This window comes from Homo sapiens, chromosome 5 (genome assembly GCF_000001405.40).
Source record: "Homo sapiens chromosome 5, GRCh38.p14 Primary Assembly".
NCBI lineage: Eukaryota > Metazoa > Chordata > Mammalia > Primates > Hominidae > Homo > Homo sapiens.
The window spans coordinates 92,850,664-92,866,947 of NC_000005.10; the positions used below are offsets into that span (position 1 = coordinate 92,850,664).

The 16,284-nt window shown below is 36.2% G+C and overlaps 1 annotated feature.

Moving 5' to 3' along the window:
* Positions 13,999 to 14,293: a silencer, noted in NCBI's record as "tiled region #14810; HepG2 Repressive non-DNase unmatched - State 24:Quies". NCBI's record gives its function as "represses a minimal TATA promoter and a strong SV40 promoter by Sharpr-MPRA in HepG2 cells {active_cell/tissue: HepG2}" and the evidence as "EXISTENCE:reporter gene assay evidence [ECO:0000049][PMID:27701403]".

Genomic DNA, 16,284 nt, shown 5'->3' on the forward strand with positions numbered 1-16,284 from the left:
GGGAGAAAAAAAGCTCCAGGGTTCCCAGAGTTAATAACTCATCTTTTATAGGAACAGGGTTTTTTTTAGATTGCTAAAGCAAAATAATTTGTAATGACATTTCTTTCAAATCCTTTCTGTAAGCATGCGTCTGCTCCTTTGGGGATTTATTCGTATATACTGCCTATAGTGACCAAAAAGAAAAATATCTGCGTTCTCTCCAAAATACCTCCTATTTGCATTTTATCAAAAGCCTTACTTCGTTTAACCTCAGTTTCACATTAAGAGTCTTCAGATTTCTATTGAAAGGCAACAGGCTTACCAAATATAGGTACTAAGGGTTTTGGGTGACGGTAGGGGAAAATTTCAACATAACTTTGAACAGAATATTGGGCAGTGTCAAGCACAGTGTTGTGCTGGTGTGCTTGTCTTCCTTATTGAACTGTTTGCCAAGGAAATCCAATCCATGATAAATAGACAAATGTCTGAGATCACTGTGGCTCATTCTCTGATGAAACAGCTGCCTCCATGCTGTGTTTGTTGTTACAAGTTATTATAAATACTAATATTTTATAAGCTCTGGTACAGTTTAGAAATGAATCTCATAAACATAATTCACTATTTCCAAGTTTTCAGCAACACACAGCCTGAAATAATTCTACTCTTGGTCAGCCTGCAGATTTAGCTGTCAGCTCCAGAAGCTGTGATGAGCAGAGGAAATTTGGGATGTGCAAATTCTTAACCATTCTGTCTTTTAGAATGGCAGAAGAGGTTCAAGTTTACTTCACCAAATATAATACAATGACTTAAAACAACAGAATAGAAAAGAGTGCCTGTATTTAAAAAATATAAAAGGTATTACAGGATAAGTTAAGGGGACTAGAATAAAAAGATGGTTTAAACATACAACACACGCAGTGTTGATTATGAAGAAGGCACCATTATTATTTACTTTCTTTTCTAGCAGAAACAAAGTATGTTATGTAATATTGTATGTAAAGCATCACTTGATGCTATTCTGCTAAAACACTAAATAATTTTCTAGACTCACATTTTTTTCAAATTCTCATCTTACTTTTGAAAATCTTGGGATCTGACCTATATCTATAGTCTCTTTTTCACTTATACGTTTATTTCTATATTCACAGAACAAAGCCTCTCTTGCTCTTTTCCCATAACTAATTGCTCTTTCATAACTAATTCAAGTCTTCTTTGAAGGTGGTGACTTTTCTTCCCAGTAACCACTTAGGCTTGCTTTATCAATGAGGACCAATCCATATAGTATATCTCTCAGTGAGCTCATTTTCTAGAAGTGTGACAAACAATAAAGATGTTAACTCCCTTTTATATATATTGGAAATGGGCTTAGTTAATTGTATGCAATAACTTAATGGATATGCAGGCAAATGGAATAAAGACTGAAATAAAATCTACATCTTAAATCATGGTGACCAATAAAAACATATTGATTCATATGTGTCTATATCAGACACTATGTAAAAGTAATAAAGTAGGTGAAAATATTTTGTAAATTCCATGGCACTGTCCACACATTACTGTGATTGTTTTCCCTTTAAGACATCGCACTGAGAGTGAGTTAAATAAGATGCCAATTACCTATTGGAAACGTAGCCTTAATTAGAGTTGGGAACCCCCCCTCTTTGTATTAAAGGGCAATAATGATGGAAAGACCTGCTACATGTGGGATCTTTCTTTTCTTTATCCTAAGTCCGTGATGCTATTTGGGTAATAACTGATGAAAGGACTAGGGTGCCAACCAATTTGCAGTTAAGTGGCTAATTAAGACCCAAAGCAAAGCTGCCAGGAGGTTGGGTCTCTTAGCTTTAAAGTGACACATAAAAGCAATTACGATGGGGCTGGCTTTGCTAGGACATATTTAAATTTGGACAAAATTTGGGCCAGTTATTATTTTATGTTAATATATTCCCCTATAAGACTCCATCAGAGAGAAAGGGGAATTATTTAGGACATAAGAAATAATTAGAACATTACTTGAATTCTCTGAACTTCAGATATGAATAAAAAGCAAAACTGTAAAATTAATTTTATGTTTGCAGTTATAACAGGGTACTATATATATGTAATTAGATTTCCTAGTCTCAGAGGAAAAGGGGATATGTGCATGAAGCACATTATTATTCAAGAGGAGAAAATCTCTTAATTCTTGGGTGTGTTGTCACCTGTCTGTCATATTGCATGAGTGTGACACCTAGCCCAGAATGGCAAGATTTTTAGAATTGTTAGATTTAAACTTGGGACACTCAGGTATTACATTTAAATATAGCTGCTCTAATAGCACAGGGGGGAACAACAGATTCTTTCTGGGTTTAAAAAGGTTTGAAGTTGGTGAGGAAAAGTAGAGAGAATTTGAGAAGATGAAAATTATAACACAAATTATCCATGTATAAGGGAATGATGGTGGGAGAGTAGATGACTTTTAAAATCATAGCTCCAGGAGAATCTTAGAGTTGTGGGGAACCACAGTCCGTTTAAACCTTGCTCTGTTGATTTATGATGTCACCATTGAACCCCTTGATGGCATTAAATCCTTGTAATTTGCAGTTGCCTAGCATATTTTCCACACACAATTCAATAACTCATTGTGTAGCTACTTCACACACACATATAAACACACACATTAGTGTGAATATGTATGTGCTGAATATGTAGTCAGTGGAAACCATGATTTTGTTGTAATAATAAGTTAGGTTAATAAAATACACGAAATCATGGGCTGGATGTGTAGTCACTGTATCACCAGCTTTGTCATCAGGCATCCTAAGGGGACAGTACTCCATGTTATTATAAACAGATTTTACCTAAATTTTGTGTATATTCTTTTTAAACATTGAAGAAGCAAAATTGTAGGGTCAGCCAAAAGTCATTATTGCAGGAAATAAATGAGATTGCACAGAGATAAATAAGGAAATATATTCAATTCACCTAAACATTACAGTAATAGGATTAGAAAATAACAGAGTTATAAATACTAACCCTTCAGGGATACATTCTTCTGCCCTAAGAGGTATGTGGATGGATCTCCTCACTGTCCAGGGAATCTCTGTTCTCTTCCAAAGAGCCTGGGAATGGCCAGTAATTTTGACTCCATAAAGCCGGGAAAGAGAAGGTTTTGGAACCTTTTCTTTAAGTCTATAATACAACTAGTCATTAGCATTTCTGTGGGGGTGAGAGGTGGTGTTTCGACATCTCTTATGCTAGCTTTTAAACTGACTTCTGTAATTATTCTCCAACGGAAACATGAGTGCCAGCGACTTTCTGGGGAGTTATTTTTATTTCTATTTGAATATTTTAGCTACAATGCTGGATATGCACTGCTGGATCTCTGAGAATGCTGTTCTAAAATGCTATATTTATAAAATGACCAAAGAGCACATGCTGCCTGGATTAAATTTATCCCAAGATGAGAGGTTTTATCTCTAATCATCTGCTTATTGACTAATCTGGGTGCATCTTGGGCAGGTTTGATGGTTGAGATGTAACAGGCTAACGTGATCCAGATCCTAAAGGAGTATTCCTTTGTCTTTGTCTTTGTCTTCCTGAAACATGGAGAAAATGAATCTGGCTGCTCTGAATTCATCATGACTTAGAGTAGCATCCTCATTGAATGAGACTGCCAGTTTGAGATGAAAAAAGTGGGGTGCTCTTTTTAAAGCAGCACAATATATGAGATCACAGAATTACATAGACTCTCAGAAAGATATTTTTAAAAGAAGTAGGATAGCTTTTCCACAATGTGTTTAAAATCCACATTGAGTATAATTCTGAAGAATTATACTTAATGTTCCAGCAACATTGTATCCTCATCTATACTGTGGCCCAGGTCACATGACAGTGTTATTATTTTCATCAGTCTCCTATACCTAGACTGTGAGCTCCTTGAAAAAAAGGAACCTTTAATTGCAACGTTTTTATTCCCATCAATATTCTAAACAACATCAGGCACATTGTAAGCAATCACTAAATATAGCTTAAGAAAGATTGAATGCTATGCTGTGTTTAAGACACTTATTAGTGAGACAGATTAGATAGATAGACAGTAACATGATAGATAGATAGATAGATAGATAGATAGATAGATAGATAGATAGACAGACAGACAGACAGATAGTTAGATAGATATCCCTGTTACTTGTAGTAAATTCTACCATGGGACTGCCTTTCTTTGCACTGGTGTTTACTTATAAGGTCTAAATTAAGACTAGATCTTGTGTCTTGCAGATCTGCGTTTTATGAAGTCAGGAAATTAGTAAGAAAGTTCCCCATGATAGACTTAATATCCCAACCTTTCTCTTTGGAAGATTTTAATGCCAGCAAATAAAAATTAAAGAATTTTTTAATTTTAAGAATCTAGAAATTCCTGACAAGTTCTGGAGTGAGTATAGAATCATTTGCCTTTCTACTATATATATATTAGGGCCCATTAAAAATTGTAAGCAGCTTTACTGCTGGCTACATTTTCTTCTAGGGTTATTTTCTTTTCTGTTGAGTAATTCCTTAATGCCCAGGGAGTTAAACATTCTGATGGAAAGGAAGTACTTATCATTTTCTGAGATTTAAAGCTTTGCTGCAATGTTTTTCTTGATCTTGTAATTTTAAAGTGCTACCTGTGTAGTTAAATGTCTCTCTCTTGATAAATTTATTTCAGTGATATTTCTAAGGTTACACATGTTTGCAAACAGATGTTGCATAAGAAGACTCTAACTCTAAAGCACTTTCCACTTCATTTTGCTATGTTATCTTAATATATTTTTAGAAGCTATCTGAACTTTTGGACTTTTCTAATTCTCATTGCAATACAAAATCATATAGTATCTAAAGAAAAAGAGAGAATCAAAGATATGTCAAGCTTGGTTTGGTTTGGTTGGTTTGGTTTGGTTTGGTTTACCCCTTGGGATGACATGAGCATCATCTCCAATATCCAATCAACATTTTCAGAGGCACATGAGAATGTCCACCAAAAAGTGAGATTATTTTAAAACATTTTATGGCTGCTTTTAATATTTCTTCACTAATGAAAACATGTATCACAGCTATTACTGAATATAGAAAAAAGTATTTTCTTGATTATTAAATGGTGATATCGTTCAATTATAAAATCTTCTCTTGAGATTAGTACACAATCAGAGATAACTTAAAAGTTCTAAATAGCCATTTTTTTCTTCTCTTGCTTTTGTAAAAAAATCATAGACATGATCTTTGAATCTTCATTAATTCTACTCATCCAACGTCTTATTAGCCTTGCTCCAGATGAGAGCAACCTTTGGAAATGGTCTGCTGTTCTTCAATATCATAGTGATGTATTACCTAACAGCTAACACGTAGTTTCAGCAGTTTGGTATTTTAAAGAAAGTTGCCAAAACGGATACAGCATACAGAGACTTGAGTGTGTGTGTGTGCATGTATATGTAATCCTAAAATGAAGAGGCATCTATTCTGGTAATAGCTGTGTACTTGAACCCATCTACAGTTTGATTGTACATCAGTTATGATGTGTCTCTTTCTAACAGGAAGGATACAGATCTTGATGAATGGCTAAAAGGTAAGATCATTCTTAAAGGTGTGAGTGATTAATAATGGCCATGCATAGATTTTTTTCTAAGAGTGTAAATAAAATATATCATTCACATGAAGGGCAGGAGTTTGGCAGGATGATTCATAGTGCATTTGAAGGCATAAAAAGTCAAAGCTAGGGTCTCTTCTAAGCATGTAAAAGAGGAAGCCAGTTTCACCATTTAAAATATATGAGTGGATGTTGGTATAGAAATCACATGCCTTATGAGATACTGAAGACTGATTTAATTTTTTAAATTGTCACCAATTAAACAAAATAAAAATTTTCTCTTTTAGCAGCTAAAAAATGATAGTAGTACAGGGATAAGAGATAAAAGATGAGGGTGGCTCTTCCATGCTATAGCACTTGGGCCATATACTTCAATCCAACCAAGATTTGCTATATAGCTTTTAGATTAGTGGTTACTGTGGAAAGAAAACACTTAAGCTGCAGTATTAGCATAAAGCTTCACTCTAATGTGGTTAGCATTCATACCAAAGTACGGTGGAGCCCTACCTATAAAGGTGTTAACTAACACAACAAAAACCAGAAAGCTGTTCTTTGAAGAAAAAAGAATTACTTCCAGTGGTGATATCTAAGTACAGTAACATCAGTGTACATGATTGATCTTTGTTTATTCTCTGCCAGCAGCCTAAAGCTCATGATATTTCAAAATGTATAAGAACAAGCTTCATGATGATACAATACTACACATCATGCTCCTCCTATGGCCCAGTACTGCAGAGATTGTACAATGCCACAGAAGGAAAAGGTCTGGACCCTGGGGCTGAGCTGTGACTCAGCTTATCTCCTTTAAGTCACAAGTGAATGGAGAAGCATATTTGTGCCTTTCTAGCATGAAGTGCAAATAACTATCATTATAAACTGTTAAAAACAAAATAATTTTTTTAAAGAGGAGGATCTCTCTCTGTCACCCGGCTTGGAGTGCAATGAAGTGACCACAGCTCACTACAGCCTTGAAATCCTGGACTCCAGAGATCCTCCCCACCTCAATTTCAGTAGCTGAGATTACAGATGTGAGACATCACAGCCATCTATCTTTTTTTTTTTCTTTTTCCTTTTCTGTGGAGATGAGGTCTCACTATGTTGCCTAAGCAGGTCTTGGAGTCCTGGTCTCAAGCCATCCTTCTACCTCAGCTCCCAAAGTGCTGGGATTACAGGTGTGAGCCACCATGCCTGGCCTAAAAAGAAATGTTGATGGCTGTCTAGGATGCTGCGTCCACTAGACACAAAAACAAGAGTCATCATTTGTACTCCTTTAAGAATGAAGACTTAAAAGTCACTGATTTTTTAATTTATTGACTTAATGGCCTATAAAAGATTTCACTAATGTTATTTTCTTCATTTAATTTCTCTCCCTGTGAGAACATGGGGCATATAGCCTGGGTATAGTAGAAGGCACAGTGACATTCTCTCTCTGTAGTTATCACAGCCTTCTCCCTGTGTTCTTTGACTGCCAATGTTCCCTGCAAGTCTGTCTCGTATAAACAATCCAAGCATGAGCCTTATTGATGGACAAAGATATGACAAATACACTGACACAATCAGAAACACGACTTTTGAATGTGAAGGGCAAAAATTTTAAAATACCAAATGACCACGTCAGAGGTGAGACTTCACTATATCGAGGTCTTCATAGTATTTTGGAAACATAACCCCCTTTGAGAACATCTAAGATGTCAATATGCTATACCGACTTAAATACAGCAGACTCTGCCCCTCCCCCTGTTTCTCATTATTTCACTCTCAAAATTCACATTTTGAGGATCATTCTGCTTCTGGATGAGGGAGTACAGGTATGTGTGTACATCCTAGGCATGGATCTTATGACTATCTTCAGCTTTCTGTGGAGGTAGGTTTAAAATTAGTTCAGTTCTATTATGTAATAAGTTTCAGGATTTGGGAATCTTTGGGTAAATGTGGAACATGTTGCTTATAACACATATTCAAACACAGAATTCAAAGGTGTGTCTCCAGAATAGAAATGTTTAAATTATTGTCTGTATCTGGTAAGCACTCTCATGAGACACTTCCATGTGTTGTACCATAAGTTCTGTCTCCAAGTTATAGTCTCTGGGTAAGTAAAAAGGAAAGCATCAAATGGATCAGATAAATCAGAACTAGGGAGGTGGTGGTTAGGAAGGTAGCTAATAGTAGATGTATCAAAATGTTACAATATATTTTCTTCCTCTAGAGTCCCTTTTTAGTAGCTAATCATGGTGATGGGAGACTGTAGTACCATCCACTTGGGAGGCTGAGGGGGGAAGATTGCTTGAGCCCAAGAGGTCAAGGCTGCGGTGAGCCATGATTGAGCCACTGAACTCCAGCTTGGGCAATCTTGTTTCCAAAAAAAATCATTTTTAGAATATATCTATTTGCAGATTTAATACAGACACTTTATATATTCTTTCATCAAATTTTAAGGAGAATGCACTAATCCGAAAGACAAATGTTATTTCTATATAATGTGAGTCATATATAAGTAATTGCATTATGGTCTGTGGGAAAATGAAATATACTAATTAGTCATTAATCAATTTAGTAAATACCTAAAACTTTTTCAGAAAATTTGGCTTTTTTCTATGGCCTTTTCAGAAAATGAGAGTGAGCAAGTCATTTCCTTCTTTGTCTCTTCCATCTGCTGTCCTGCCATGGTAGTGAGTGAGTCTGTATGATTGTCTTATTCATCCCGTGTGGCTTTGTTGATTAGGGATTTTGCTAATTCTCCAGATATCATCTATTTGGGTCCTTCCCAAGCTTCTCTTTTTCCTGTCAAGATGACAACAAGATGGTGTATATATTTGCAGATGAGAAGAATCAAATAATTGAAGTTATAAGACACACAGCCATACTTACCTTGGATTTCCCTAAAGGTGATATTCACTAAAGTCTCTGATTTCATACTTTATGTGGGGGACACAGGAATTCTTCCATGTGTTAATATTTTGCTTTTTATCTTGCTCTGACCATCACCACCTGTGTCCTTCTGCCTAATTTCTCAACTCCTCAGGATCTGGAAAGACTCCATATTTACCTGGGCAAAAGACTTTCTGTGCTGAGGTTTCTGACTATGGAGTCTCTAACAGTCTCCAATTTAGAACGGCTGTTACTCCCTTGTTTTGTTTTCTTTTACTTTTACATTCTTCTTTCATCACTATGGTACCATTTGTAGACTAGCTCTCATTTAAGAGGCAGCCAGCTCCATAACTTAGCAAATCAATGAGTCTCTCACTGAATTACCAGTATGGAGATAATCCTGTAAAATAGTGAGATAAGGAATCAATCTCTTTCTACTAGAATGTGCTCAGGTTTAGTCATTGATGCAAAATACTGTGCAAAAGTGGGAAACAATTATCTCTTAGAATTGGAATTAGCACTTCCTTTCAGAATGTAGTCTTACTTCAATTTTAATTGTTTTAACCATGTTTTGTTTGATTCCTTTGACTCAAAACACACAGACCAAATAGATGTTTCAGTGAGAAGAGTGTTTACAGAACAATTCAGGTAAGGTATTCCCAGATTGACTGGATGCAATTTTAATGACACAATCATCCTCAAGTGTGCACCAACTCCTAGTGCATTCCAGTGACTTATTTATCAACATCACAGAACACAAGATTTTTTTCCTCTTACTCTCAATATTTTATAGTAACTCTTTGGAATCACTAAAAAAATTTTTAAAAGAGTAACACTTCAATAAGAAATATAATAACATGACAGGAATATATTCTAATGTTACTAAATTCTGCTCCCATGAAATGTAGTGCTTTCTACTTCCAAATCACAAGCCTCCTTTGGTGCCATCATGTTCCAATATACATTTCAGAAAGTTTCAAAGAACTCATAAGATATTAAAATTCCAGAAAAATTATTTGTTGAAGACCAAATGTAAATAGATAACATGTTCAGCATCTGAATATTGCAGAATACGTCTCCAAAATGGCCCATATGTTCTTCTAGAAAAAGCAGCAGTCCTGACAGTAAACCATGAAATATTCTGGAGGCAATGGCAGAGTGCCAGTGTCTTAAGGGACAGCATTTTCCACTTTAAATAACAGACAAAATAAAGCTTTAAAATGTTCTTGATGATGTAGGATTTAGTAAACCCTTCAGAGGGATGCAAGGAAAACCTTTTCTTCTTAAGATTGATGCTGGGAAGAAACAGACAAAAAGTAAGAATCGCTCTGCCAAGCAGCATAAAGAATCAATTGGTCTCTTTCTGAAATTTAGGAAATTCAATGAATCGATAGACTGTTAGGAACTGGGCCACACAGACTGAAAGTGATTCCTTGTAAGTACTAGATACCAGAGATAACACAAAGCTCTTAAGAAAGTGCTGAGCACAAGCATGGATTTAAAAAGACTGAATTGTGTACGAGCAGGAAAGGAAAACAGCTTATTATTTAGTAGGCATCTGTAAATGGAGACATTTCTGCAAAGGTAAACCAATGCTTAATTGAAAGATAAGCGATTTGCAGGTAAATATCAAACTTTATTTTTTTCATTTCTCATTTTATTTTTGTTACTTCTGCTTCACTTATTCTGTCTCTAAAAATGGCAAAATCTCTGTCATAAAATAATTTGGACTTAATTAACATTCTCCAAGGCAGGCAAGCTGGAAGTATAATAATTCTTTTGAAAGCAAATACCCTTTGATGATTACAAGAATCAAGTATGATCAGAGAATTTTTTTCTTGGCCATTTTACAAGAGCCTATCCATCTTTATGTGGCCTATGACACAAAAATTAACATGCGAAAAATGGTCATTTTAAAACGATAAATAATTAGTGGGGCAGCTGGGTGCCTAAAAAATTTCTTTACGTTATGATAGAAGATACGTTAGACTGAACCACTTATTTCAGGCACAATTTTATTTTGTCATTTACTTTCCCATTAAAATGTGAAGTTTATAAGCTGAGATCACAAATAATTTCTTAGGCTTTCTTCCAAATAAGAAAAGTAAAACAGAAAAGGTAAAAGGAAAGACGTTTTTAATTTAATAAGAAATTTAAATATTAATTATTATAACAAATTAATTTCAAATTTAGAGCTATTACTAAGTTATTAGTTTATTGACATTACATTATCACCATATTCATTCACTAACTATCAGGCCAGGATTCTAAAACATGCAGAAAGCATATAGGTTTGAATTCACTGGATGATAATATCAAAGATTATCGTTTCTTCTTGTGGTGGAATATTAATTATATCTAAATAATTTTGGGGAAAGGACTTTCTTAATAGTATTTAAGATAGGTAAAATTTTACATTTGCAGTAAGGTAAAGTATTAAAGTAACAATAGTGATAATTACTCAAAGAGCAATTGCAACTTTTATAGTACACTGGCACAGAAACAAGAGCAATGCTGTATATTCCACTAATTCTAAGCAATTTAAAATTGTCTAAATATGGAGCATGAAGCATGGCACTCAGTGCGTGAACAATGACCATCCTGAGTGCCTGAATTACGTCACTACCTTGTGGTTATTTATGCATATATGTTTGTGGGATTGGCCTATCTTGGCAACAGTAGCTCCTTTCAAAAACAGCCTTTACTAGCCAAAGGACATTGATATAGATATTCTAGTTATCCAATAATTCCCTTCAAGTTTAGAAATTATTCTAAATATTTCAAAAATGTATGAAAAAATATTATAATCTAGGCTCATAGACCTTGTCTAGGTGGCACTGCTGGCTTCTGTAGGTCTTAGCTCCCAGAAAGCACCTTAAAAATTTTGGTTGAAGGCATTCCAAAGGGCAGAGCTCTGTAAGATGCAGGCCAGGAGCAAGGGCTTTGCTTGCTAGTACTGTTTTCCTTTGAAGTTTCTAAAAAGCCCTTAGAGGCAAACTCTGTCTTCCTGTAGCAACAGCACATGCCCCTTTCCATATTATGAGTAATCGTATCTTCAAATGTGTTGCCAGAGAGTGGACTACCCAATAATGTTAGAGTAGCCTTGCAGAAAGAGATCCATGTCTTATATTTCTGCTAGGTTGTATAAAACCTGGCCCAGGGCTAGTAATACAAAAGTCAACAAATACTTCTTACTTGATAATAGCTATTTACCAAATATAGTTAACAAGTAAACTGTAGCAGTGTTACACAACAAAAATCAAGAGTCACTGACACTGTAAAAGTAATTGCTGCTGAGAAAATAAATTTATAGTAAGAGCAGTCATTTTTCATTATAAATATTTCAGCCTACAGAAAATAGTACCATATGCCAATTCTTTGGCTGTAGTGAAAGTACTGGGTGAATTTTACAATTCCTAAATTTATCAACCAAATTAAGTCCTCTATATTGTTTCTTTTACCTTTCCCTGTTTTTCTTATTAGGGACATACATAATCCTTCTCCTCTCCTTTTACTAGAGCAAATTCAATATTTCATTTTACATTGAATTTCTTTTTTTGTTCTTTTTTTTCTTTTTCTTTTTCTTTTTTTTTTTTTGTTTGAGACAGAGTCTCGCTCTGTTGCCCAGACTGGAGTGCAGTGGCGCGATCTCAGCTCGCTGCAAGCTCCGTCTCCTGGGTTCACGCCATTCTCCTGCCTCAGCCTCCTGAGTAGCTGGGACTAGAGGCACCCGCCACCATTTCTAGTAGAGACGGAGTTTCACTGTGTTAGCCAGGGTGGTCTCGATCTCCTGACCTCGTGATCCTCCCACCTCGGCCTCCCAAAGTGCTGGGATTACAGGTGTGAGCCACCGCGCCCGGCTACGTTGAATTTCATATCATCTTTCCCTATGACTAACACCACTCCACAGTGATGTATTATTTAGATTTGAGGTAGCACTTTTTAAAAATGGTCTATACCACATGATTCACATTGGTGTATAAATGTGCTTAAGTATGTGTGTGTATATATGTGTATTGTATATTATCTGTAACTAATATATATGCATGTGCCAACCCTACAAGAAAAGCATATATTTTATGTTAATGAACATATTTTATAAAGCGCACATAACACTTTTTCAGACAGAGGAGTAACTAAGAAAAGTCTTCTACATTTGCTTAAAGTTTGGTCCCACCATTCTATGTCTGTCTTTTGAAATCTTTTGACAACCTAGATGCTCTCTAAAATATAAATAAGATTTGGGTGATAGGCATCAATAATTAAGCAATATCACTTTTAGGTAAAACTGTGGTAGAAGGCGAAATAAGGTAAAAAATCAAACTAGTGTGGATTTCCCAGGTGACATATATACAGGTCTCTGTTGTTTCCCAGTAATTCTTCCCCAAAACAAACCCAAATCATTACTAATCACCATCTATGCTATTTCTACCAGTATAACAAAAAATGCTACATTGTTAAATCCTTCAGGCTGAAGCCACACATTATTCATATTTCTATCATCAAGGAAATAGAACGTAGTAATGCTTAGTAAATAGTTATAGGGAGAGTAAATGAGAATCTACATTGATTTATCTTCTTACACTGATCTAGATATGTCTGAGTCAATACATAACAGCTAATAATGTAATTTCTATTATTTCACAAATTCTACCAGAAGTTGTGCGGCAATAATAATTACTTTGCCAAAGCTATGAACATTGTACAGGAAATCTGTTCCATGGTTACAGGGCTACACAGCTCACTTTAATCATTTTTGTCAAGGGAAACTAAGCAAGAGGATATAGGTGGCTTTTCTTTTCAATCATCCCTGTGAGGAAAAAAAAAACAATGAAATCGTGTGTCATCTACATTTGTGAAAATACCACATTAAGCCAAAACAGGGAGAGAGGATCTTACTGTTTAGATTTATTTTTTAAAAAGGAGATGACTATGGTGTGCTGGAAAATATATGGATGAGGAGGAAAAATAAAGTGAAGATGCAAAATTTAGAGTTTATGGTCAAAATTAAGCAATGACAGAACGTCCTCAGTATTATCAATAAGTGTTTAGAAAATGGCTATAAGATACTTCAGATAATATGATATTGTCATAGGACAATATTGTCTAATTTTAAAATTAGAATATGTTTAGAAATGTGGTGAAGTACATCTTCTCTGTGTTTAAGTGATATAAGCATATGGAATATAGAATACTAGGGCTTACAAGCATGTTCTGATTGCACTAAAATAAAGAGCCATTGAAATAAAAATGCATTATTTACTCCTTATTTCCAGTTCAAAACAAGATAATCTTCCATATCCTCACCACCAGGTGGATTCTGGAAGATAATTATTTTGCACACTCAGTTCAGGTTCTTGATTCCAATGCAGGAGGTTACTGCAGGTTTTAGAGCAAATGAGAGCCAAAATACATAAACTTTATTGTTATTGTTGCTCATTTGACATATCCCAAATGAATGGGCATTGGCCATTCAGATGGAAAACAAAAGCCTGTTTATCAGCTGGTTAATTGCACTCAAATATGAAATAAGATTTCCAGCAGTGAAGCTCTCTCACATTTCTATTTCTCACCTGAATGATAAACTATCTGTGAACAGAACCATTTCCAACATCGAAGTGTTTATCATAATGAGGCACATCTGCCACAGGTGAATACTGACCTTTCAACTTTGGTCAGCACCCTGACAGCAGGTGCAGTCATAGGAAAGGAGGATGGAGGCAAGTTTCCTGGCATTGTCATCTTCCTCGTATTTGTTTGGCTTAACTTGGAAATGAGGAAATAACTAAGTAAAGCCAGAACACTGAAAATATTCCTTACACAATGTGTCTAGTGAATGCTTTTACTTCCTAACAAATTTTCTGGGTTGGGGAAGACTGGAATTTTGTTGTAGTTAATATATTTTATTAGCAATTTATTTGTTTTTCAAACAGTAGTTGGACAGGATTATTCATTGTATCATTTTTAAAATGGTACAGATACTTAACTGAGCCTGCCTGATATCTGCTGCATCACTCAAGAATCACTGATTCTTACTTTACCAGTGGGAAGATATTAAATATAGGGCCACATCGTTCCTCTGTGGAGCTTTTGGACAGGCTGGATGATCAACAAAGGGGATATTTTTTAAAGGCCGGGATAGTACGCTCCTCTGTACCAGTGGAGAAGACTTAACTCTGATACTATAACTATAACTTACTGAATACCTTTAATCATGTACTATAGTAAGAGCATTATTACATGTATTCTTTGTTAATGTGTGAACTTTCCAGTTTGTGCAGTCTCCGTGCACAAGTCTCATTAAGGCAGCCTTCTAGAATGAGTGCTGCTTACCTGGTTTTGACTTACGGGCATCAGAATAATGACAGCATTCATGGACCACATGTAACCCAGTCATATGATTTCAGTAAATAATACCACCTCTGTCTCCATCCCTCTTTTTCTCCAGCTAATACCTGACCTTCTACTTGTCCAAGGCATTATTGAATCCTGCTGAAAAAGTAGCATAAGAGATTTTCCTAGCTAGGCGGCTGTGGCTCATGCCTGTAATCCCAGCACTTTGGGAGGTCGAGGCGGGCGGATCGCGAGGTCAGGAAATCGAGACCATCCTGGCTAACAAGGTGAAACCCCGTCTCTATTAAAAGTACGAATTAGCCGGCAAGAGAGGCAAATTAGAGGCAGGAGAATTGCTTGAACCTGGGAGGCGGAGGTTGCAGTGAGCCAAGATGGCCCCACTGCACTCCAGCCTGGGTGGCAGAGGAAGACTCCGTCTCGGGGCGGCGGGAGTGGGGGGAAGGTATTCCTTGTGCCTCAGGAACTAATAATCTAATTAAAGTTTAATAAATAGATGGCTGCTCCTCATTTATGCTTCCTCATAATGACCCCCCCAACAATTTTCTTTTTGGAAATCCGCTCTCTTTCCTCATGTGTGTGAATTCCATGCCTCTCCCTTCCTTTTAGAAAAGCAAGTGGGGGCTTTTCTAAAAGGTCAAGAGATCTAGAGATCATCCTGGCCAACATGGTGAAACCCCATCTCTACTAAAAATACAAAAATTAGCTGGGAGTGACGGTGGGCTCCTGTAGTCCCAGCTACTCGGGAGGCTGAGGCAGGAGAATCGCTTGAACCCGGGAGGCGAAGGTTGCAGTGAGCCGAGATGGCACGCCATTGCACTGCAGCCTGGCAGCCGAGTGAGACTCCCGTCTCAAAAAAATATTAAAAAAAAAAAGGAAAAGAAAAGCAAAGGGGTCAAATCATTTTTTCTCCCCAGGCCACTAGTAGAGGTTTTATCTGTGGCCTCAATCTACCATTCGGGTCCTCGTTTTTAAGATATTAAAAGGAATTTGAGTGACTCAGGAACAGCCATCACCATGATGATGTTCTCACCTCTGTTCTAGCTATTGGATTGTTACTGTGATTTCTGCTACAAAATCCTATCCTTCCCGAATTCTCTTGAATCATGGTCTGAAGCCTCATCTACCAACTTAATTTTATGAGCCCTCACCCCTACCCTGATATTCTTCCAATAAGTTTCCTTTCACTTTTGTTAACCAGAGTTGGTTTCTGTTGCTTGCAAGGAAGAAACATTATGATGCATAAAGTGTGTAATTATGAAAGATAGTTTATAATTAAGATAATGTATGTAATATTGGGAGTGAAACAGACAAAAATACCAGTACTAAAGAAAAAGGAAATGATGGTGGTCTCAGCTAATCAGTAAAAGAAACTAGAGACAGTGACCCGGGGAAGAACGAGGTTTCAACAGGCACAGCGGAATGGATAAGAACTGGTTTTGTTTGTTTGTTTTGTTTGTTTGTTTGAGACGGAGTCTCGTTGT